Source organism: Homo sapiens, chromosome 13 (assembly GCF_000001405.40).
Source record: "Homo sapiens chromosome 13, GRCh38.p14 Primary Assembly".
Classification (NCBI taxonomy): domain Eukaryota; kingdom Metazoa; phylum Chordata; class Mammalia; order Primates; family Hominidae; genus Homo; species Homo sapiens.
Genome location: NC_000013.11, coordinates 96529297 through 96552409, shown reverse-complemented (window position 1 = coordinate 96552409; position 23113 = coordinate 96529297). Strand labels below are relative to the sequence as shown.

At 39.5% G+C, this 23113-nt stretch overlaps 1 protein-coding gene across 1 annotated transcript in view; it reads right to left on the bottom strand.

Annotated features, from left to right (window-relative positions):
- Positions 1 to 23113, bottom strand: part of HS6ST3 (heparan sulfate 6-O-sulfotransferase 3) — a 749456-nt gene that overhangs the window by 287153 nt on the left and 439190 nt on the right. The window lies entirely within an intron of this gene.

Genomic DNA, 23113 nt, shown 5'->3' with positions numbered 1-23113 from the left:
AAACACCCAGAACAGCGTGTCACCTTCAGAGTAGCTGGGGTCAGCTACTGTCCATAGCTGCCCCTGTGTTGATCTTATAAATCAGGATGCAAGACAATGAGGCCTGTCCTCAGGTGATCCTATGAGGCGGTGGTCAGGAAAAATACAAAAGAGCTTCAGAAAAGTAAAACGTGTTTAAGAGGAAGGACATTAAAAATATCATCCTAAGCCTCTGTACTTCTGTAATAGGTGTAATTGCAGGCATCTAAGCAATAAATACGTGCACACTGAATTGCTCCAAAACCATGGAAATAAACCAAATTCCATTTTTAATGCATGCAATAAACTTTTTCCCTAGGATATCAGTTAAGATTGCTCTAACTTTTAAAAAAATAACAGCTGACTTATTCTGTATTCCTATAGCTCAGAATAAATAGATCAACTAACTTTAAAGTTGGCAGGTTTACAGTTCTCCCAGAGAAGAGAAATTAAAGCCAAACTGAAGATAAAAAGTAAGTATTTTTATATTTATGAAGTCTTAAAATTACAGAGCTGAACATACAAGGTCAATACAGAGCTGGCATAGAGCTGAGCTAAATGCTTCCTACATTAGCCTTATTTCCTCAAGTGAGAAAGTATGCTCCGGCGGGTGGCGATGTGTGACGAGCAGTAGGCGAGGATGGCTGTGGTTCTGAGGCTCTGTGCAAACTTTGCATCCTGAGTAAACATTTACAGTTAAATCCCCAACTCAAGGCTCTGGCTAAATCCCTTCCTAAAATTAGGTCAAAATGTGAATTGTGAAATACAATGCTCTCTTGAGTATTTACAAATGACAGTGTCTTTATTTGTTAATGACTTTGTGTTTATTTTTCTGTGTATTTGTGGTTTTTATCCACCTACCCCCCAAGAGTAAGCTCCACAGGACAAGATCCATGCCTTTCTTGTCCATAATCCCAGTGTTGAATACAACGTCTGCCAATGACAGTTTCTCAATAAAAACTTGTTGAATGAATACATACATTTTTATTCTTACTATGACCTCCTCAAGGGAGCTCACCAACCCTTGCACCTATCTCAATGCTCAGAAAGAAGAAAAAAACTCTGCCTGTTCATTAACTATAGAAGGACATCCAAGCACTGTAATGTAAGGTGTCACTTTCAAAGGTAACATTTTATTTGATCACTTTGAGAGCCTGTCTCCAAAGCATGGAGAAAGAATATTAATCTTCCTTATATTTGTCTCTCTGATCACTAGAAATTTATTAACATTTAATTGTCTTGAATTTGAATTTGGTTTTCAGGAAGCTTCAAAGAATTAGCATACTCTGAGTAAACCCTTGTAAGATATTAATTTTTGATCTCAAAGGGTAGTTAATTTAGGTTGTTTACATGACAGATTGGGACAGAGTTAAAGGTTAAATTCTACCTTTGAAGTCTAAAGATAACTGAAAGTTGATGTTAATAATTTTATAATTACTGAAACTATGATTAGAATTGTCTAAATATATCATGCTAGTAAAAGTGTCATATCATTCCTACTCACTCTCCCTGGGAGATGACCTGACTTTTGAATTTTCATTACCCCTAAAATTATCAGCTTCAAAACAGCATTTATGAAAAGAAATTAACATAAACATTTAAATGAGTTTTTTCTGAAAAGTTACTTACTCATCTAAAACTGAAAGCCAACAATGAAATTACTTAAATTAATCATTCCTCCCTTCACTCAATACATAATTACGCCAAGTTTTGAGTATACAAGCAAAAACAAAAAAAAAACATAAAATATTGTCCCTATATTTAAGGAGTCTGCTGCAGAAATCCATTTTTATATATTTGTTGATTTAATAAGTACTGGTGACAAAGATGACATGGCTTCAGTCCACATTAGGCTTGAAGGTTCACAAGGTTGGGAGCATGTATTAGTCTGTTTTGCATTACTATAAAGGAATGCCTAAGACTGGGTAATTTATAAGGAAAAACCTTCATTTGGCTCACAGTTCTGCAGACTGTACAGACATGTCACCAGCATCTGCTCAGCCTCTGGTGAGGCCTCAGGAAGCTCTTACTGATGGTGGAAGGTGGAGGAGGGGCAGGCATGTCACATGGCAAGAGAGGGAGCAGGAGAGAAAGAAGGGGGTTCCAGGCTCTTTTAAACAACCAGCTCCCACGAACTGACAGAGAACTCACTCATCACCAGGAGGACAGCACAAAGCCATTCATGAGAGATCCACCTCCACAACCCAAACATCTCCCACTAGGCCCCATCTGCAACATTAAAGGTCACATAACATGCAATTTGGAGGGGACACACAACCAAACCCTAACAGACCACATCCATAATGCTCACCATTGAATCGCTACTATGAGAAGCATAACAGTAACAAGTATGTATTACTATGTGATGCTTTTAAAGGCACTGTTGTTGCAGAAAGGCAAATGTGGAAATAGAGAACATACAATGTGACAAGGGAGATGACAAAAGAATGTACCTAGTGCATTATTGCCAGAAGGGAATACCGAAGTTGGCCTGCTGAAGTCAGAGAAGATATTTCAGACACCATTGAGTGGAAGCACTATGAATAAGAAGGTGTCTCGGGTGGGCAGGCATGAGAGGGCGTTTCAGGCAGAATAAACAGAATGGGCCCAGGCATGGAAATATGGCAAGCTCAAAGACCATGAACATCTTGGTACAGCTATCAAGGTGCTACAGACACAATCAGAATTGTTCTCAGGCCTTCTCATAAACTGTTACCTGGGTAAAAACAATGCCTCTGAAAGTAATCTAAGTGAAAAATTATTATTGGGCTAAAGTTTATATTTTACAATGATTTAATCAAAGGACAGATAACCTTTGACTATAATTTATAAAACTAAAGAGCATTCACTTTAAATATTAGTATTTTTGATTACTTCTAGAAAAACAATTTAACAATTTCTATTCAAGCCTGCAATCAAATCAGAGCCACAGCTGTCCCTTGATATAATGAGGATTTAATATTCCAATCTACTGTTCTCTGATAAAGCCAGCTTCAAAAACTCCAAACCTCATGCCACCATTTCTTCCCAGTCTGATAAACTATCTATTTGAAAAACACAAATAGATGAACGCTTGCATTCAACCACACATAAATCATGGATCCTACAGGCTACAGAAGTTCTTTATTCTGCATACACATCCAGGAATCATTTTTATTGAGTGCCTCAAAAGAATAAAACCAAAAAAAAAAGGGAGGTCTGGTCAGTCTTGGAGAACTGGAGGAGTAAAACCAGCCCCCTGCTTTGGGATAAAACTATGAGGAGGTGAGGAGAAAGGGCAACAGGGGAGCTAATGTACCTCAAACTGCACCGTATGAGGAATGGCTGAAGGCCCGAGAGGTTCAGGTTGAAGAACTTTGTCTCTAGGGGAGTAACCATAACTGGCTTCAAGTGTTTGTAAGGAGAGTGTGAGGGTTGATTGTATGTGTCAATTTGACTGGGTCATGGAGTGTCCAGATACTTAGTCAAACATGATTCTGTATACTTCCACAAGAGTGTTTTTGAATGAGATTAGTGTTTAAATCCATAGACCGAGTAAGGCAGATTGCCCTCTCTCACGTGGGTGAGCTGAAAGTCTACACAGAACAAAAGGCTGACACTCTCCCAAATAACAGACAATTCGCCTGTCTGACCTGATGACCTTCAAACTAGAATAATAGCAGTTTCTGGTTCTACAGCAGTCCACGACCTGCAGATTTCAACTAGGAGGCTGGCTCTGCAGATTTTGGACACAAGCCAATTCTTTATTTGATGACAGATGATAGACAGATAGATAGACATACACATAGGTAGACAGATACATAGATAGATAGATTCATACCTACATACATGTGCACTTGAGTCCATACCTCCTATTAGTTCTGTTTCTCTGGAGAATCTTGACTAATACACAAAGCAATAATGAAGACGAAATAGTATGAGAAAACAGGAAAAGTTGAGATAGTAAAAGACAGTTTGGGGTGACAATGCATAAGCCAGTTTACGTAAGCAGAGCTCTTACAGAGATACGGTGTGAAAGAAGATGGAAAAGTGAAATTGGTGCTGTGGGATTGATTCCTGCAGATGTCCATGTCCCTGGATGTCTCTGAGTGAGGGTGGGATGGATAAGCAAGGTGCGTCTGGATGTGACGTGTAACCTACTGAAGGAGGAAGAGTCTGGAGGTCCAGGTTTGGTCATCATGTGAGGAAGATGGAGTTCCTCTATATGAACCCAATTTTCAATCAAAAAGAACTGGAAAATGTTTTGGGTTAAAAGTTAGGTTGGCCAAGGAGGTGGGAGGCACGGTGTGGGGGGCGTGCAGGAGAAGCAACACTTCAAACAAAACAAAATCATTGAACAAAATGTAAAAAGATTAGGTTTGTTTTTCTGTAAACATTACACTCTTGCAACTTCTGCACTTTTCTGCATTTCTCCTAAATAAAGCTGCACAGTGAAGAAGAATTGTTATGACTTCCTTGGGTGCCTCTGTGACAGCTTCATCTTTCAAGCAAATCTCTAAGATTAAAAAAAAAAAGATTATCGGGCCTTAAAACACCCCATGTACTGTTAAGTCGTTTAAGCCAAGAACAAACTACAGACCAAGCAATGCTAAGCACTAAAACTGGAACCTTCCCCATCGTAGCAGTAAACACATTACTTATATAGATACGCCGGCCAAACTCCAAACAACTTATGCCACAAACGAAGATGAGGCAAAACAATCAAGGTGGCAGATAAAGCAGTGACACTATACAAAGAGAAGAATTAATTTAAATGTTCTGCAGAAATACCTAAGCCAAATTCTCTTTCTCTTTCTCTCTCTCTTTCTTTGTAAGTCTTTAACTTTTTAAACAAGGAAACCACTAAAGTTAATCTAAGGGAAAGCTATTCTATCACATTTAAGTTTTAAAATAAATATTAAGAAATTAATAAATATCAAATTAACATAGTACCTGTCATTTAACACTAATGAAAGATATTATTGATGGTAGGGCTATTCTCAGCATCATTTAGTGAATAAGGAAATACTAGACTGAGGGGCTGGGCAAACCCAAAAAGGAGAAAAGAAATGCTAGAATTGTTGATGGATTGCCTTGAGCTAATTTTGGTACCAAGTTGATGTCCTGATATCAACAGCTACCTAAGCCAAACCCAAGCATATCTTAACTTGCACACATGCCCTGCACTATCTAATTGTTCTTTCCAGAGTTCATTTCTTTAGGTAATATTTATTGTTCCCTAAAAGAGAAGCTATTCCCAGTATCTTCTCACTTCCAATAGCACGTATTAGCTTTCACCAACTTACTCGCATAAGACAGCCCAACTGTTGCCAGGGGTAATGGAACCACAAGACCTTGAGAAGTAAAAGTCAAACTGCTATACCATTTTGTTTCTATAATTTACCATTTTCTTTCTGGCATCAGGGGTGGGCTACCCAGACCATATTCTCCTGCTAACATTTGTAAAGGTAAATACAAGAGGTGCATAGCTACAACAACTGTGGACTCTGCTGTCCCTCTAGGAATTTTCCTTGCATGGTCCCAGGCCGATGCTGAAATATATATTCTAGGGTAAATGCCCATTGTGACTTGGGAGTTTATTTTAAATTGAATCTTTAATATGCAAATGTGAGATTCACCTGGGGCACCATAAGAATGAAATCTATCCTCCATCCTGTCTTGCGCTCTTACATTAAAAGGAAGAAGAGTAATTTTTAACACACCCCTACGATGGTTTTATGCAAATTCTTCAAGCTAGGCAAATTATTTCTGTGTTAAAATTTTTCAACCCCATAAAAACAGGAGTGAATTTATGTGGCATTTTAAAACGATGTTAGGCACATTGTAAAGCTATTTCATCTCATTTATAAAGAAGAGTGAACATAAAAACAGGCCATGGCATAATTAATAGTGGAATGATTTATAGCACCAACTCCTCCATACATATTTATGCATTTTCTATAGTCTGGTGCAAGTTCTTCCCCTCCAGACCGTCAATCCCTGCCCTTGCCAAAGGAGAGAAGTACTATCAAGTGAAACTTGTAATACGGAGCTTAAATTATGTTTCACACACAAGTGTGAACACACACACACACACACGCCCCTGTAATGGTTCTCTAGAATTTTCTGAAGGGCCCTAAAGAATTCTATTATCCAGGTTCCACTCCTAAAGGTTCTGCTTGAATTGGTCTGTGGGTGGGCAGCCTGGGGCATTGAGATTTTTGAGTTTCAGAAGAAGCCCAGCTTGAGACCTACTATCTATACTACAAGGATATTAATATTATTAAGCAAAGTTACAATGTGCAATTTAAATCACCACTGTTACTAAATAACTTGAATAATAAACTCAGAGACCATACTGTAAGGCCATTCCATTTCTACTTCACCCTTCCATTTATGATTTACTGCAAATTCAACAAATATTTCTTGAGTGCCCACTATGTGCCAGGCACTGTGCTAGACCCTGGAGATACAAACATAAATAAGACAGACATGCCCTGTCTGTTCAAAATGTAGAGTTCAGCAGACATTTGTGGACTGCTTTTTCTACTTCCTGTTTCCCAGCTAACGTTCTACCTCTTCTTAATATCTGTGGATGGTATCCGCTGGCTCTCGAAGTAGCTATCGGATTTTCCTACTTGGAACCTCTGTTTTTAAATTCCTTAAGAATACAGATGAAAACTAATGAACTGATATATCTTTACAATGGCAATAAGAACACAGGTAATAAACAGATTTTGAAACTAATTAACATTTCAAAGAATCACCTGAAAGACAATAGGATACATTATCTCCTTATAGAGATTTGGTTCTCTCTTCTGAAGTTATGAGAGAAACAAAAGTTCAGCACAAACTATACTTACTACGCTTAAGTCTGATCTCCACTGGAAGTAGAGCACTGAGTTACCCCACTCTTCTTCTGCCCATGATCATCAAGGTGGGCTTCAGTATAATTTGAGATAAACTCTAAAATATTTCCTAGGTTTTTCAAAAGCATAGTCTTGCCTATGAAGGGAGTGCAAAATAGCAAATATGCCAGTGTTGGTCATAGAAGGATGTCATTTAATTTCTCTTTACTATGTTCAGCTGAAAAGTCTGCTCACAATGGTTTGATGAGGCAAATAGAAATAATTACTCCATTTTTATGGGGATAACATGAGCACAATAAGCTGAGTTATCAAACTTACGATCCAGATAAGTAGCAGAAATGTAAGCAAACACTGACTCAAAAGATAAATGAATTTTAGTCATACATAGAACCCACCATGACTTCCTCATGGCTGACACAGGCTGCATAAATAATGCCAGCAAGACTTAGATAGCATTATACAGCTATGTTCTCACATATTTCTATTATATATTCACCAGGCAAGGAGCGCATTTTCTATTTTTTTAGTTAATAAACACTCATCTGATTCCCTCTACAATACTAATTTTGAAAGGAGCTTCTTTATTTGCATAATTTTCAAGTATTTCTTCTAGTGCAAGCTTCATTTTAAAGCAATACATTTGTGAATTTCTTAATGAGGCTCATTTTTAAATAATATAATGAGCCAGATTTTCTCCAGTGCCCAAGTCACTTCCTGGTAATTACTGAGCCTTCCAGGCCGTAGTAATTTACCACTCACCATGCTCCATCAGACATTCACCAGAGAGGACGGCACTTCGGAAGGTGATGAAAACTTTATGCACAAATAAGAGAGGAGAAAGATGAGAGGGTCAACGCTGAAAAATATTCATACTTTGAATTTTTCCATACTGTGGGTCAAAAAAGACTAAAAAGAGTTGTCACAAAGATCATAATAATAACTTGAATAAAATAAAGGTAATAATGATTTACATTTTACAGATCTGTTCAAGCCCCTATTTGATCATTTTCAGTGGCAAAGTGCTCACTCTTTTGTTAAATAGCTTGTTCCACTGTTGGACTGTTCTAGTTTGAAATTCCTATCCATCTGCCATCAATTGTCTTGTACAACATGGTTTCTACCAACTCATTCTTCCACACACTAGCCATGTAAATATTGGAAGTAACTTATGTCTACCATGAGCCTTCTCTTTCTGTATTAAATTTTTCAGTTCCAGAAACAGTTCATTATATTACATAGTTTTCAGATGCCCTTGCACTGGAGCCAACGTACTTTGAATGCTCTCTGGTTTATAAGTATCCCTGTCAGTGAGTTAGTCCCCAAATTAGACGCAGTGTTCCAGATTTGAGTTTATCAGTGAGAATATCAGATTTCAGTGGGATGTTTATCAGATGTCAGTGAGAATATATCGTCCCTGGTTCTAGGCACTTGCCCTTTTGTTGCTATGCCATTCTGTGGATGTAGGGTGAGTTCATGGTCTACTGATGCCCTTAGGGTCTTTTCAGATCGACTACTGTCAAGTTATGCCTGATCTCCCTTACCCTGAACTAGTGCCAATAAGGTTTAGAATTATATATATATATATATATATCTCCCCATCATATCATATATCCATGGTTGAAACACATCATTCCATCCTATTAAGAAAAAAAAATTTGATTCTGTCATCTATTTTTGGCCTGATGTATTCAACATTATTAATAGGTCATAAGAAGAGATGCTTTAAAACATATTTGTCATCCTTCATAGTTTGTGTTATGCCCAAAACTGATAAGTATGTTTCCTATGTAACTGAAGCACAATCAGCCACACTTTCCTGGAGAGTTATTTGGAGAGAGGAATGGGTCCTGAAACTGATTCCCTTCAAATAAAGATGAAAGGAGAATGCCCAGGTGAAGAAATTGGCTTGGCTTCGGATCTAATGGGGAAAAATATTAATAGTAAAGTTTCTGCTCAACCTTTGTATAGCTAAGAGATGATCCATAGGGAGAAGGCAGGCCTGAAATAGTTCTATCTTTTATATCCCTGAAGATTCCAGTGTAAAGAGCAAACATCTGCCAGTCAAGAAGACTCATGAAGTTGTTAAATGGTTTCCTTGGTGTGGGCAGGGGCATCTGTGAAGACTGCGCTTCTTTTTCTCAATGTGTCTTCTGACTGCTCTGAGAATTACTCTTGGGGCTGAGTGTCTATTTGGATCCTGTGATCACCCAGTGGATGACAACCAGATGAGCAGACAACCTGCACCACATGATGACAGGGAAACCTTGACCCAATCAGACCTGGGGGAGGATGACTGAAGTACAGCAGGAGATTATTCTAGACTGAACAAATCAGGTAGTGAGAAATGCACTGCTGGGAGCTGCTGCATCCTCCATAATCTGTACGGGAGATAGGAAGATAAATAAATTCCTTTCTGTTCATGGTGGTGGCAATCCCTAAGGGGAGCCAAACAACAGATATGTAAAGATAGGGACATGGTATGTGATGCATGAAAAGTGTTTTTTCCTCAGAGCTCTCGTTGGTTTCTGAAAGAATCTTATTTGATTATTTTTAATTGTGTCTTTCCTACCACCAGAATATAAATCTCCTTTCGAGCAGGAACCACCATCATATCTCCTCTCATTTTCCCAGCATCTAGAACACTGAACAGAGAAGTACTCAGTTACCACATTTGGCTACAAAGATAGGTTGAAAGATGGACTGAGATGGGGCAGAACTTGAAAGTGGCAGAGCAAGGACCTAGACTATGTCCCTGAGAAAATATCTCCTAGAGATTGACCGTTGTAGTCCTCTTCCCCATAGGACATACTTGAATGATCTTGAGTGGAGGTCATGTGAGCAGCAAAAGGGTAGAGTGGTGGAGGTGAATGCAGTCACTCCCACACTTACTAGTTTGCTGAAGTTCATGAACAAGAAGATATAACAAATATAGGGGGCTGTGGCTGGGAGGTGTCAGAACAGTCAAGGAGTGAAGCAAATCCCCTTGATTGCATTAGGAGTAATATGAGAACAAGTTCCCCCTTCCCAAATATGCCAGAAAAGGTGGACCCTTGAAAGCGTGGGAGGCTGTTATGTATTAGATTATGTATTTATGTAATTACATAAAAATATCAGTGGGGCTGCAGATATATTTTAGGGTGACATAAATCTAATATTTTGCATATAGATATTTTAATGAAAGGAGCCCAAGTGACTCTATTATCATACTGCCCAATTTCTCCCTACCCACCAGGAGCATGTCCATATTGGGAGAAAGCTGCTGGCTAGCTCAATGAATAAAGCTAAACTCTATCTATGGGTAATGGTTTTTCCCTTCATCTGCCAGTCCAGTAATGCTACAAATACAAGGAAGTAACTGGTCATGTGTTGTTCTTAATGAGCCAGGGACCATCTCTTTCTTATGTAATTGTTAAAACATAATTTGTTAAGTATTTATCCCAGAGGCTTTCTGCCCCTAGGGATTTTTGAATCAAAAAGGTTTCAGATCTGTAGATATGCATAACTAATACACAGGAGGTAAAAGTGCTTTGATCCAATAATAGTAAGAAAGAAAGCAAACACAAAACTCCCAGAAAATGTACACTATGCTAAACTTTACTCCCATACTGTTCTATTTCAAGTGACATAAGAAAAGCAACTGGTAAATTGTGGAACTGCTTCTAAATCAAATGATACGATGAGTTGTAGTCTACCAGGAAAATCACTCTTATAAATAATTTGGGAATGATGAAGATAATGTTATGTTTTGGGCATCATAGTTGCAAGCCATGGCATACTGGGCAAACGTTCTTATATATTCCATGAAGTCACAGAGTATCAGTTGGCTGGGGGAAGCACCTCCCATTTGGCCCTAGGCAGACATTATATCATCCCATTTTCAGAAGCTTCTCAGTAAAGTTATCATTCTCATTACATTTTGCATTTTTATACCACCTGTAATCATAGCTCCCAGGCACTATATACGTTGTTAATTTATTATAGTCATTTCAATTTTGCTAGTTAACTCTCAGGTCTCCTTATGTGTTAAGCCCTAAAATCAGCAGGAAGAACTGAAACTCTTAAATACCCAAATCCCCGTACATTTTCAGGAACCAGAAGACCTGGGTTCTAATACTGTTTTTTGTACTAATCAGCTCTATGACTCCAGCAAGTCACTTCTTTCTGGGCCTCAGTCTCATGAGTAAAATGTCAGACTTGATCTAAATGGGGCTGGGCACAGTGGCTCACACCTGTAATCCCAGCACTCTGGAAGGCTAAGGCGGGTGGATCATTTGAGGTCAGGAGGTCAAGACCAGCCTGGCCAACATGGTGAAACCCCGTCTCTACTAAAAATACAAAAAATTAGCCAGGTGGGGTGGCAGCGGGCACCTGTGATCCCAGCTACTTGGGAGGCTGAGGCAGGAGAATCACTTGAACCCGGGAGGCAGAGGTTGCAGTGAGCCGAGATCGCGCCATTGCACTCTAGCCTGGGAGAGAGAGTGAGACTGTCTTAGAAAAATAAATAAATAAAAATAAATTAATAAACAAATGGCCTCTAGTATCCTTCCCAGCTCTAAGATTTTTGGGCTTTGTATAACAGAGCTCTCAGGAATAAGTCTGACATATATCTGCGCATAGATGGAGATTAATCTGTTCCTGAGGTCACTCTGACTCTACACTCCTTGAGTGCATCATCCATTCTGGTGCTGCCAGCTGTCAGCTCCCTGTGGAAGACTCTGTGTCAGATCTAATTCCAGAAGGTCCTCAGAACCAGAAATAAATAGGAATGCCTAGGGCTAATTTAGACGTCTGAAACTAAGCAAAGAGAAGCGATTCCTTTATGAAATTTATTTTAGAATAAAAATGGTTTGCAGAATGAAGTGAAGGAACTGGCATTAAGTTACAAGAGCATGTTAGTAATTAATGGCATGGCTTAAAATATCAAGTTAAGACATTATTATCAGTGAAGAATCCATTAACCAAATCTAAACAAGGCTGATAAAGGCTCCTTTGCCTAAGGAGGGAGTGGCCTATTAGAGTGGTTGGGAGGAGGGTTGGAAGACATCCTTAAATGTTTTCTGCTATTCACATGCTTATAATTTTGTAGATAAAATGGATCCAATGTAAGTGAAGGGACAAGTTAAGCAAGCAAAAGACAAACAGATGTATACATTCACAAGCTTATGATAAATATTTGGGCATTTTAATTAAGTTTTATACCTGAGTGCTGTAAAAACCTTAGAATGGGCATTTAGGGAAAGGTAAAATTTGTCTTGGAAAGTAGCTTACAAGAAATAAATATAAAACATTTATTAGGAAGTGACTGGGCAGAAATGCAATCAGGCTGAACTTGCCAAAGAGTTAGGTGGGTAGTAGGGTGTAGAGCAGTGCTCACCATGCAGCAAGACCCAACCTCCAGGAAAAATTCAAAACTTTATCTGGTAATCTCCAAGTGAGTTTTCAATGTTGTGTAACTATGAAAGAGTTATCTGTAGAGATGGGGTTTTAGCCAGCAGCCACTATCCACTTGTCAGGCCTGTCAATGGCCTATGCCCAACATTCTGGTCTTGTCACTCATCAGGAAGACTCTGAGCATGAAGCAATAAGGTAGATTCTCACATGGAGAATGTTTAGTCCCTGGGCTACAGGAAAATACCAGGCACATTTATTGCATGGGCCATAAGGGAGTAGTTGAAGATATTAACAGGGAACTGGTAGAACAAGCGGATGTGTCCAAATACAAAAGGAAGCCACCGTGGCTTTCTGAACCTAGGGGTGGTTCACTGGGGGAACTAAATACCTATTAATAAGCAGCCAATTATCCATCAGAATGTTTCTCTTTTCAATTCCAGGAATAAATTAAAATGGTGGAAAAATAATGAAGAACTACTGAAAAATAAACAGACTTAAAAATGAGTGCCCAGGCTCACGCATGTAATCCCAGCACTTTGGGAGGCTGAGGCGGGTGGATCATGAGGTCAGGAGTTCAAGACCAGCCTGGCCAATACAATGAAACCCTGTCTCTACTAAAAATACAAAAAATCAGCTGGGTATGGTGGCAGGTGCCTGCAATCCCAGCTACTTGGGAGGCTGAAGCAGGAAAATCACTTGAACCCGAGAGGCAGAGGTTGCAGTGAGTGGAGATCTCACCACTGCACTCCAGCCTGGGTAACAGTGTGAGACTCCATCTCAAAAAGAAAAAAAAAAAGTGTCCAAACTGAGTTGTGCAAATGCTTTCGTTGGGTTAAATTTTATAGTCGTAGTCATAGGATGGAGACACATTGGAGCTCAGATTAAGGTTTACAGAGAACACTAGTGAAACAATGAATGCTAGGAGAGAACATAAACTGACAGAAAGTGTTTTCTAAGTTTATACTTTCCCTATTTTCTCTATGTTCCTATTTCTAACCAGTATGGCCAAAGTATAAAAGCACCTATTCTGTTGGCCACTTTTTTCCAGATTCACTGGACATAATTCTCATTTGAAAATACTTCCCTGAGAAACCCTGGGAGAGTAAGCCACTACTACGCCTAGATAATAGCACAGCCCAAGCAGATATTGGAGCAGAAGAAAAATGTTGAGATCACGTGAAAAACACAGAACGAGGGATCTGTCCAAATAGCATCAATAGACAATTGGAAACGCAGAATCATCTCTGACCCAAGTCTTTTGTAACCTACCCTTACCAAGAAAGAGTGGAAATGGTATAAATTCCACTGAAAAAGCAAAAGGCGCAAATATTTTTAGATAAGATTTTTCCCAGGTTATCTTGAATTTTCTATGCAGTATAGATACTTCTGAAATCGATTTTCATGTGCTTAGCTGGGCATGGTGGCTCACGCCTGTAATCCCAGCACTATGGGAGGCCGAGGCAGGCGGATCACTTGAGGCCAGGAGTTCAAGACTAGCCTGGCCAACATGGCAAAACCCCATCTCTACCAAAAATTCAAAAATTAGCCGGGCATGGTGGCATGTGCCTGCAGTCCCAGCTACTCAGGAGGCCAAGGCATGAGAATCACCTGAACCCAGGAGGCGGAGGTTGCAGTGAGCCAAGATCGTGCCACTGCACTCCAGCCTGGGTGACAGAGTGAGACCCTGTCTCAAAAATAAATAAATAAATTTTCATGTGCTCAAATGTTTCACTGGGATATATCATAATATTTTAAAACAAAACTATTTTCCTCTTTCAAATTGTTAGTAAATTTATAATGCATTAGATCTCTATAATTAATATATAAGGCAAGAGAAAGGTATTGACTATCATCATTTATTCTCTCAAAGTATGATTGGACTTACTGCATAAATTATTCACATATTCTACTAGCACAATAAAATAGCATCTGTTTCTGCATGAATCACATTATTTATTTGGAGCACGTAGTGAAGGTCCTTTAAAATGCTTTGCTAATATGCTGGACAGGGGACCTCAGGCTCTAATTCGTGTTTGGGTCCTCCTATTTGGAAGTACACAGTGTAAGCATTACAGTTGCATCAGTCTCTGGTTTATTTGCATCCATTATAGGTGAAGCATAACCTTCAAGATATGCCAGGCATTGGGCAGAACTGTAAGATTGAAGGGAGGAGTGACTTTATCTCATGCTCACCTCTTCTTCTGGTATCCTTTTTCCCCTTTGAAACCATCACTGTCCACCTGCATCTCCCACCATGATGAATCTCTATTTTACCCTGTGCCTTTGCAAACAGAGGCAGACTCTCTCCCACTCTCATTTATAAAACAGACACTTCTGACACTCAACTTACCATCAAAAATGTATCAGTCCTAGCATTGGTTCACTGATTAGTGTCATTGCATTTTGAGACACATTAATGAAATTAACTGATCCAGGATAAAATGATTTCTAATGTCATATTGTATTTAACATTTAACTGAGAATAACACCCTACTTCTAGTCATTAAGTAAGTCAATGATATAAGTATGCATGAAACATGTCCCCTATCCTTAGAGATGTTTACAATCTTAGAAGTTTTAGGGAAAGAAACAAATGCATGTAAGAAATAGAATAAATGATTTTAATGGGCAGAAGCAGCACAGAGAAATCAATGCCTAATAGGGGATTAACATGGAATTAATTGCAACTGGGAGTGAAAACCACTTTTCTGTTATGCCTCTCATTATAGAGTCTTCCTCAGGTATAGGAGGTGATATGGTTTAGCTGTGTCCCCACCCAAATCTCATCTTGAATTGTAGCTCCCATAATTCCCACATGTTGTGGGAGGGACCCCTGGGAGATAACTGAATCATAGGGGTGGTTTCCCCCATACTGTTCTCGTGGTAGTTAAGTCTCACAAGATCTGATGGTTTTATAAGGGGTTTCCTCTTTCTCTTCGTTCTCATTCTCTCTTGCCTGCTTCCACGTAAGATAAGCCTTTCGCCATCCACCATGATTATGAGGCCTCCCCAGCCACATGGAATTGTAAGTCCATTAAACCTTTTTCTTTATAAATTACCCAATCTTGGGTATGTCTTTATCAGGAGTGTGAAAACAGACTAATACAGGAAGCAAGAGAGAAGTGCTTTATTCTAACTACCAGAGTATGGGCTTCGCAGAGGATTCTTACATCTTACACAAGGCAGGTGCCTGATAAATGTTTAAATAATGACTATTCAAATGAGAAGAGGCTAAAATGGACCACCTGTATAGGTAGGTGGAAGATTTCCAATCCCCCCCAAAAAAGTGGGCTGTTGGCATACTACTGAAACCACACAACTTTGGTGGTTTCTGCATAAGACAGTATTTTTGCATAAACATCTCCAGAGAAAGTATTACTAGTCATGGGCTCTTTGAGATCCCTGAGGGCCACATTCTACCTGGCTGTTTCAGATTATCCTGAAAAATGGTAGAGGGTGGCAAGCACCAATCTGTCCCTTGAGGACACAGTTTTCCACCTTTCTGGGCCAACTAAAGCCAGTATCACAAGCATGACTTTGCCTCTCCTCTCTCCAACCACAGATAGAGAAGAGCCACAATCTCCAACTGTCTACAAAGAAACGAACGCTCCCAGCTAAAACTGCCCTTTATATTTGATCATTCTGGATCTGTACAGAATTTTTCTCTAAGCATCCCTGTGTGTGTTATGCACACAGAGGGAGAGCATCTTATTTTTATGTTGTCTATAATAAATTATAAGTGTAACAGCGGGAGCTTTTTCAATACTATTTGTAAATGCAGCCAGAGGCTATTAAGTGATTGCTGTATCAAATAAATATAATTAGTAAATAGCAAAATAACATGTTTTGTAAACTGCCTTTGGAAATATGTGATTAGACCAAAGACAACGATTTCTGCCAAAGCTTCTAAGTGTTTCCAAGAGATACCAGGAAAAGGCTTTAACAATTTTTATAACAACTTCGAAAAATGTTCATGTAAATCTGCTAAGAAGGTAGACAGTACTCAGTCCAAACTCCCTTTGAATGCTTCACGTTGAAAATTTAAGCATGGGGGTACACATAAGGGCCCATCATAATTTTTCCAGGGGAGTTAAAATGTGCTTGATTATTGACTATAAGTTTTTAAATTGGCATTTGATGAGGTTAAAAAGAAGGAGGTATAAATATAACTCCATGTGCACAGTGCTCTCACGCTGTAGAGCTATCTCAATTAGTAACACTTTAAATTATTCCAGCAAGTCAATCAGTTTGGAGGGAGGTGAACTCATCCTGCCTTTCCCTCTTGCTGGCATTAGGAAAGGGACTTTGCTTCTCAACAGCAATGTGCTTCTCACTGTCTGGCAATGAACACAGAAGAGTCACCCAAACCCACTGATTCTTCCTCTAGAAGATGCATTATGTTTGTCCCTTACTCATATTCCCTCATCTACTACCTGTTATCTCTTTTCCCAGCCTCTCATCCCCCATTATATTAATTATTCACTTTTATATGTGATTCCCTGATGAAGAACCAGATCTCCATGCATATGTATCAAGCCACAAGTTCAAACCCTACCTAGATTTCAAGATTCTCCAATTTTTTTTTTTTTTTTTTTGAAACAGAGTCTCGCTCTGTCGCCCAGGCTGGAGTGCAATGGTGAGATCTCGGCTCACTGCAACCTCCATCTCCCGGGTTCAAGAGATTCTCCTGCCTCAGCCTCCTGAGTAGCTGGGACTACAGGCATGTGCCACCATGCTCAGCTAATTTTTAGTATTTTTTTAGTAGAGACAGGGTTTCACTGTGTTAGCCAGGATGGTCTCGATCTCCTGACCTCATGATTCGCCCGCCTTGGTTTCCCAAAGTGCAGGGATTACAGGCATGAGCCACCATGCCCGGCCAAGATTCTCCAACTTTTAACTCCACGCATACCTATAGAATAATCTTCTACGAATCCCCAATCAAACCTTCTTCTACTAAAGTTAGGCCTGTCTCCTTCATGTCCCATTCCTGGATTCATGTTTCTACCCCAGTCCCAGGCACACTTCTATTTCCACATTATTCAGGACTCTCTGCCTACAATGACTTACCCTCCAAGGCCTAGATATGTTCCCACTAAGTCAGGTTTCTCAATACACAGCTGGGCAGGCCTTACTTTGAAATGCTATGCTTTCACAGTCTGTTCTGCGTTCCTCTTTTTTTGTTTGTTTGTTTTTCAGACGGAGTCTTGCTCTGTCACCCAGGCTGGAGTGCAGTGGCGTGATCTCTGCTCACAGCAACCTCTGCCTCCTGGGTTCAAGGGATTCTCCTGTCTCAGCCTCCCTAAGTAGCTGGGGCTATAGGCACACACCACCATGCCTGGCTAATTTTTGTATCTTTAGTAGAGACAGGGTTTCACCATGTTGGCCAGGCTGGTCTTGAACTCCTGACCTCAGGTGATCCACCTGCCTCAGCCTCCCAAAGCACTGGGATTACAGGCGTGTGCCACCGTGCCCGGCCTCTTCTTGTATATTGTTCCTGCACCTGTGGCTTTTTCCTTGTCTTCTGTGGCAATGCCAAGACTGGTGCTGAGAAAACAGCATATAAATAGTGACAACCACAATGGTGATGATGATGACAATGATGGAAGCTAACATATGTTGATTCTTCACGTATGGAGGCCCTGTGCCAATTAGTATTAATAAATTATTGCATTTAGACCCCCTAACAACCACACGGGATGGATGGGATTAAATACACCATTTAAAACTGAGACATATAAAAGTCAGTTTGATTAGCTAGTCATTGAAACTGAATTTCAAAGAAGTGGGTATACATAATTATCCTGCAGATATTTAATAATACAGCCAGTATATATATCTGGATTACATTAGAAAAGAGATGGCTCTAAATCCTAGATTAGAACATTCCACTGAGTTCCATGAGCATCCATTTGCTCACCCATTCCTTTGACATACAGGAATCCAGCCCAGTCTATGTGTCATATGCTGTAGGGCTAAAAAATACATCAGTAAAATGGTCCCTGCCCTCAAACAGCTCACCGACTTGGCAGTCCACAAAACTGTGTCTGTGGTCTTATTTCCCCCTAACTTGGAGTCTGAGGGAGGAATAATGTGTGATGCTAGAGAAGAAACATTTTAAAAACAGCTGAGATCCAAGAGTCATTTGGGGGCTGGAGAAGCAATGCCTGATGGGCGGAATGAATGATGAGAAAGGGAAGGTGTGTGTAAGGAAAGGATGGATAGGGCAAGTGACTATGACAGCTCTCACAGAAACTTCTGGAAAAGCAAATACCAAGTAAAGAGTTCCAGAAAAATCATCTCTGGACCCCCTGGGGCAGTATGCTAAAGCCCATACTTATCTGTCCATAGCAGAGGTGTGAATGCCTGCAAAGACCTCAAGGCCGGATCAAATGAGACTGTGCTTCTCTCCAGTTTGGGGCCTCTGGTGATGACTTTAATACCGAGCACTTAGTCATCATGTTTGATGGCTTCCGCGGCCTCATTTATCAAGGATCTATAGTTAAATTTAATTTTCATGTGAGTGGAGGACAGCCATGGCAGCCCAGCTCCTTGTTGCTGATCTGCCCCCGTTGATGTCTTCTGAAGTGGAAATGATGGATGCCACGTGTTCTGGCTGTGATTAAATTTGCTTTGACAAAGCAGCATGGAAATCAGATTTTCAATAGACTTCTGTATTTCACCTAGTGCTGAGTAAACAGATGCAGAACATAATGCTTGCATGGCTGTCAGGCCGATAGCTAATTCATTGTGGCCATCTAATCAGGCTGTCCATTAAATTATTATTTGTCAATAACATACAGGATCATTTCTGAAACTCTGAGGAATGAGAAGCTTGTTTTTAAGTAAATAAATGTGGAGGGCTTGACAACATCAGGGGTTTTTCTTAGGAGGGTCCAAATAACTCATCAGTCTCTGTGTCTCTACCCCCCTGAAGAATCAAAGCACCATTTAAGAAGTTTTTAGTTTCTCTTCGCTTGGCTCCCATTTCAAATGCAAGCAATATCATCCAATTACAACAGAGAATGAAGCTACAAACATTGACACTTTAGCTTCCCCAGTTTATCTTTAAAGGAGAATGAAGCAGAAAATCACATTAAGTATGCATCTTATGTTAGAGCTTTTAACCTCCTGCCTAGAAATGCTGCGTGCAAACCACCTCCTGGAAACAGCTTCCACTTCAGGGAAACATTGGAGACAGCTTGGTCTTATCAGGCAAGCAAAAGTGGCTGAGAATATGATTGTCTATGCTTGTTCCCCTCCCACCCTCTTTTTGTTCCATCAGTGGTTTAAGTAGACAATTGGGTCCCTAGTACTATTAGGAAAGGTCCTCTTTGTTATCCTGGCACAAATTTTCTCCTGTAGCCTCATTCTCAAATTCAGACCTCCATGCTTTCAGTAATTTTTTGACTTCCTGAAGTTCGGGTCAACCACCTTCTTTTGTTCAGTGATTTAGGTAGACAACCAGGTTCCTAGTACTATTAGGAAAGGTTCTCTTTGTTAGCCTAGCACAAATTTTCTCCTGCAGCCTCATTCTCAAACTCAGATCTCCGTGCTTTCAGTAATTTTTTACTTCCTGAAGTTCAGGTCAAGCATTTTCTCACCTTCTTTGAGTCCTGCTTAGAATATCTTGGGCTTCTATCAACATTCTCCTTTTGCACCTACTCCTTGTGAACCAGTCCCATAGTTAGCAAATACTTTTCCCGATAAAACCCCCAGACCTCAAGTGTTTCATTATTACTAAAGAGTTGAGAGTGTGCAACACATTTGCATATGCAAACTAGCTGAAAGAATTTGAGCAAGTTTCTAAAACAAGCTAAGCCTTGTATTTCTCATCGGGAAAATAATATGTATATCAAAGTACAGTTGCAGGGATTAAACAGAATAATGTATACATGGAATAAACAATGTTTCTCTCTTTTTAGATGCCCGTTATTCCCCATCAAATAAGAATTCCCCTTTCAGAAGTATAGGGGACTCAGTTCTCAGTCTTCCTGATACAGTCTTTCCTAGCTTCCCAGGAAAGGGTGACAGCATACTGAGAGGCCTGACTGTACTCTGGATCCAGCCTGGGATGGGCCTTTCCCTTGCTGGGGACCAGGTAGGGCTCAGGTGACCAGATGGCCTGCTGTTACTTGTCTAACACATCGGCTTTGGGAGGTAGGTATGTTCTATTTAGAAGAGAAAGAGAAGGAATCCCAGATGGGCCTCAAATCGAGGTTGTTTTCTTCCTCCAGCTTTGTCTGTGATAAAACTGATATCAGAGACCATTGTGTTTATTTCTCAAAAGTGAAAGGACTCAGGAGAGAGGCAGCAGGAATTACTTATTATACACGTTGCCCCAACAGTGATGACTGGCACATATCAGCTACTTGACTTCTAGTGGCTTTTACAATAAGAAAAGTAATTCTATGAGATAAGGAATAGTGGTGATGGTTGCTGTTACGATTGTCGTTGTCTCATTTGGCTTTCATGACACCCCAGGTAGGCAGGTAAGGCAAATAAAACCTCCGTTTCACAGGTGAGGAAATGAAGATGGTAATGGCTGCAAAAGCATTAATGGGTCACAGACCACCCTCTGCCCTGCTGACCTGCACCAGAGAGCAATAAATAGAGGAAACAGCTCAAGGCTTCTTATAATTATCATGAATTGAAATTTATGCTAACTAGTATCCAGCCAATACAAAGACAGAACATTCTCAGTACACTCTACTAAACTTTGAGCTTGTAATGATCTTACAGTAACTACTTGGAAATAAATAAAATCTTCCACAGTATGTGTGAAAACAATAAATGAACATCTGTAAAATATGGTTTAATCCATATTTAACTTCATATTTAATCCATTTAACTTCTCGTTTTTACAAATATTAATTTGTCACCAAATCAGGAGAATTTGGATCTCTCAGAGCCTGGCTATGGGGCAAAATGGTGGGGAAGAGGGATTTCCGAACTTTTACTTTATTACAAATAAATTCATTGTTTATTAGAAGAATTATTAGCACAATGATGAGGGCAGAAAGGAGAGTGTGTAGAGAGAGAGAAAGTGGAAAGAGATATGGCTAGAATATATTGGAGATATTAGAGATATTCTCTGATCAGCATAGAATGATGCTCTGAAGATGAGGTGCTTAGAAGCAAAAAAGAATGATCTAAATCATTGCTACTCAGAGTGTGATCAATGGACCAACTGAACAGTACTCATGTGAAACTTGTCAGAAATGCAGAATCATCAGATACACTAAATCAAAATCTGCAATTTGACAAGAACCCAGGTGATTCTAATGCACATTAAAATTTGTGTCTCAAGAGGGTAGTGGGTGACTGACAACAGTTTGAGGATAAATGATCAATAAGAAAACACCATAGCCAGGGCAGTCCAGTAGTAGTCCAAGTGATTGATGACAAAGACCAAACTGTTGCTGGAAATAGAATGGAGGGAATAGATTTCAAAGACGTATCAGAAGTAGAAAGAATGGTTTTAGAAACTGATGAGTTAGGCCAGACATGGTGGCTCATGCCTATAATCTCAGTTTGAGGTGGGAGGATCACTTGAGCCCAGGAGGTCCAGGCTGTAGTGAGCTATGATTGATCTACCACACTCAAGCCTGGGCGACAAAGTGAGTACCTGTTTCCAAAAAAAAAAAAAAGGGAAAGAAAAAAGAAACTGATCAGTTAAAGAATATCTGTGTAAAGGAAGAATTAAGATGAAGTTCTGAGGCTTCTATTTGGGTCAACTTTCAAGTAAGGGGTTATTTATCTTATCTTTCCAGAACCTACTGCAAATCTGGTACAGAGAAGGTAGGCACTACATGTGAGCTGAGTGACTGCATTCACTATCCAGATCATGGGATTTCAAATTATGTTCCATTAATCCCTAGGAATCTTAAGAGGTACTTTGGGAGCTGAAAAGAGGAAGTCAGATGGGCAGTGCTCCAAGTCCTTACTCCCAAACTTCATTTGCAAAACAAACAAAAACAAGTCCATCATATTTTCTTAATGAAATCCTATGCAGTTGGTCCACTGACCATATTCTAAGTAGCAATGATTTTGGTCACTCTTTTTCTGCCTATAAATGCCTCATTTTCAGAGCATCATTCAGTGCTCATCAGAGACTATCTCCAATCTAATCATAGAACTTGAAGATCAGCCCCAAGTCTAATTTCTGGTCTGTTACCCTCCATGTTCTTGGATTCATGTTATTCCTTGAGGTATTGAGACAAATAAAATTTGGACACACTTGGCCTTATTACCAGCAACCTCTAGAATAATGGAGAGGAGAAATGAGTATTGTTTAAAATAGACAGTTTGCTCTTGTATAATAAAAGATAAGGGTGATCCTATCTAAATTTATGCTAAGAAAATAATTTGATAGAAGAAAGCCATTACAAATGCAGATAAATACAATGTGATTTAGCCCTAATATTTAAAAAATCATCTAAATGTTAAATAAGCAAAAATCATAAATGAATTATGGCACATTTGGTTTACATAGTAATAGGCAAACTTGAGAATAATGGCTATGAAGATCAAGACTCAACATGTTAAAAAGTTTATAATAAAAAGATAACCAAATAATGAAGAATATAAAATGTAAGATAACTATGGTTGCAATTACATAAATTCATGTATGCATATGATCAAAAGGTAGAAAGGCATATGGATAAATAAGAATGAGGTAAAATATTATAGACATATGAATCATCAGTAAATTTCAGGTTCTACCTTGTAAATATTAATATATCTGAATCCAATGCATTCTTACTGCATCTAACATGACTACCCTGATTCAAGACTTCATCTCTTAATTTGCACATCCTAACTGGCCTCCATATAGCCCCTCTTATGATACACCCTTG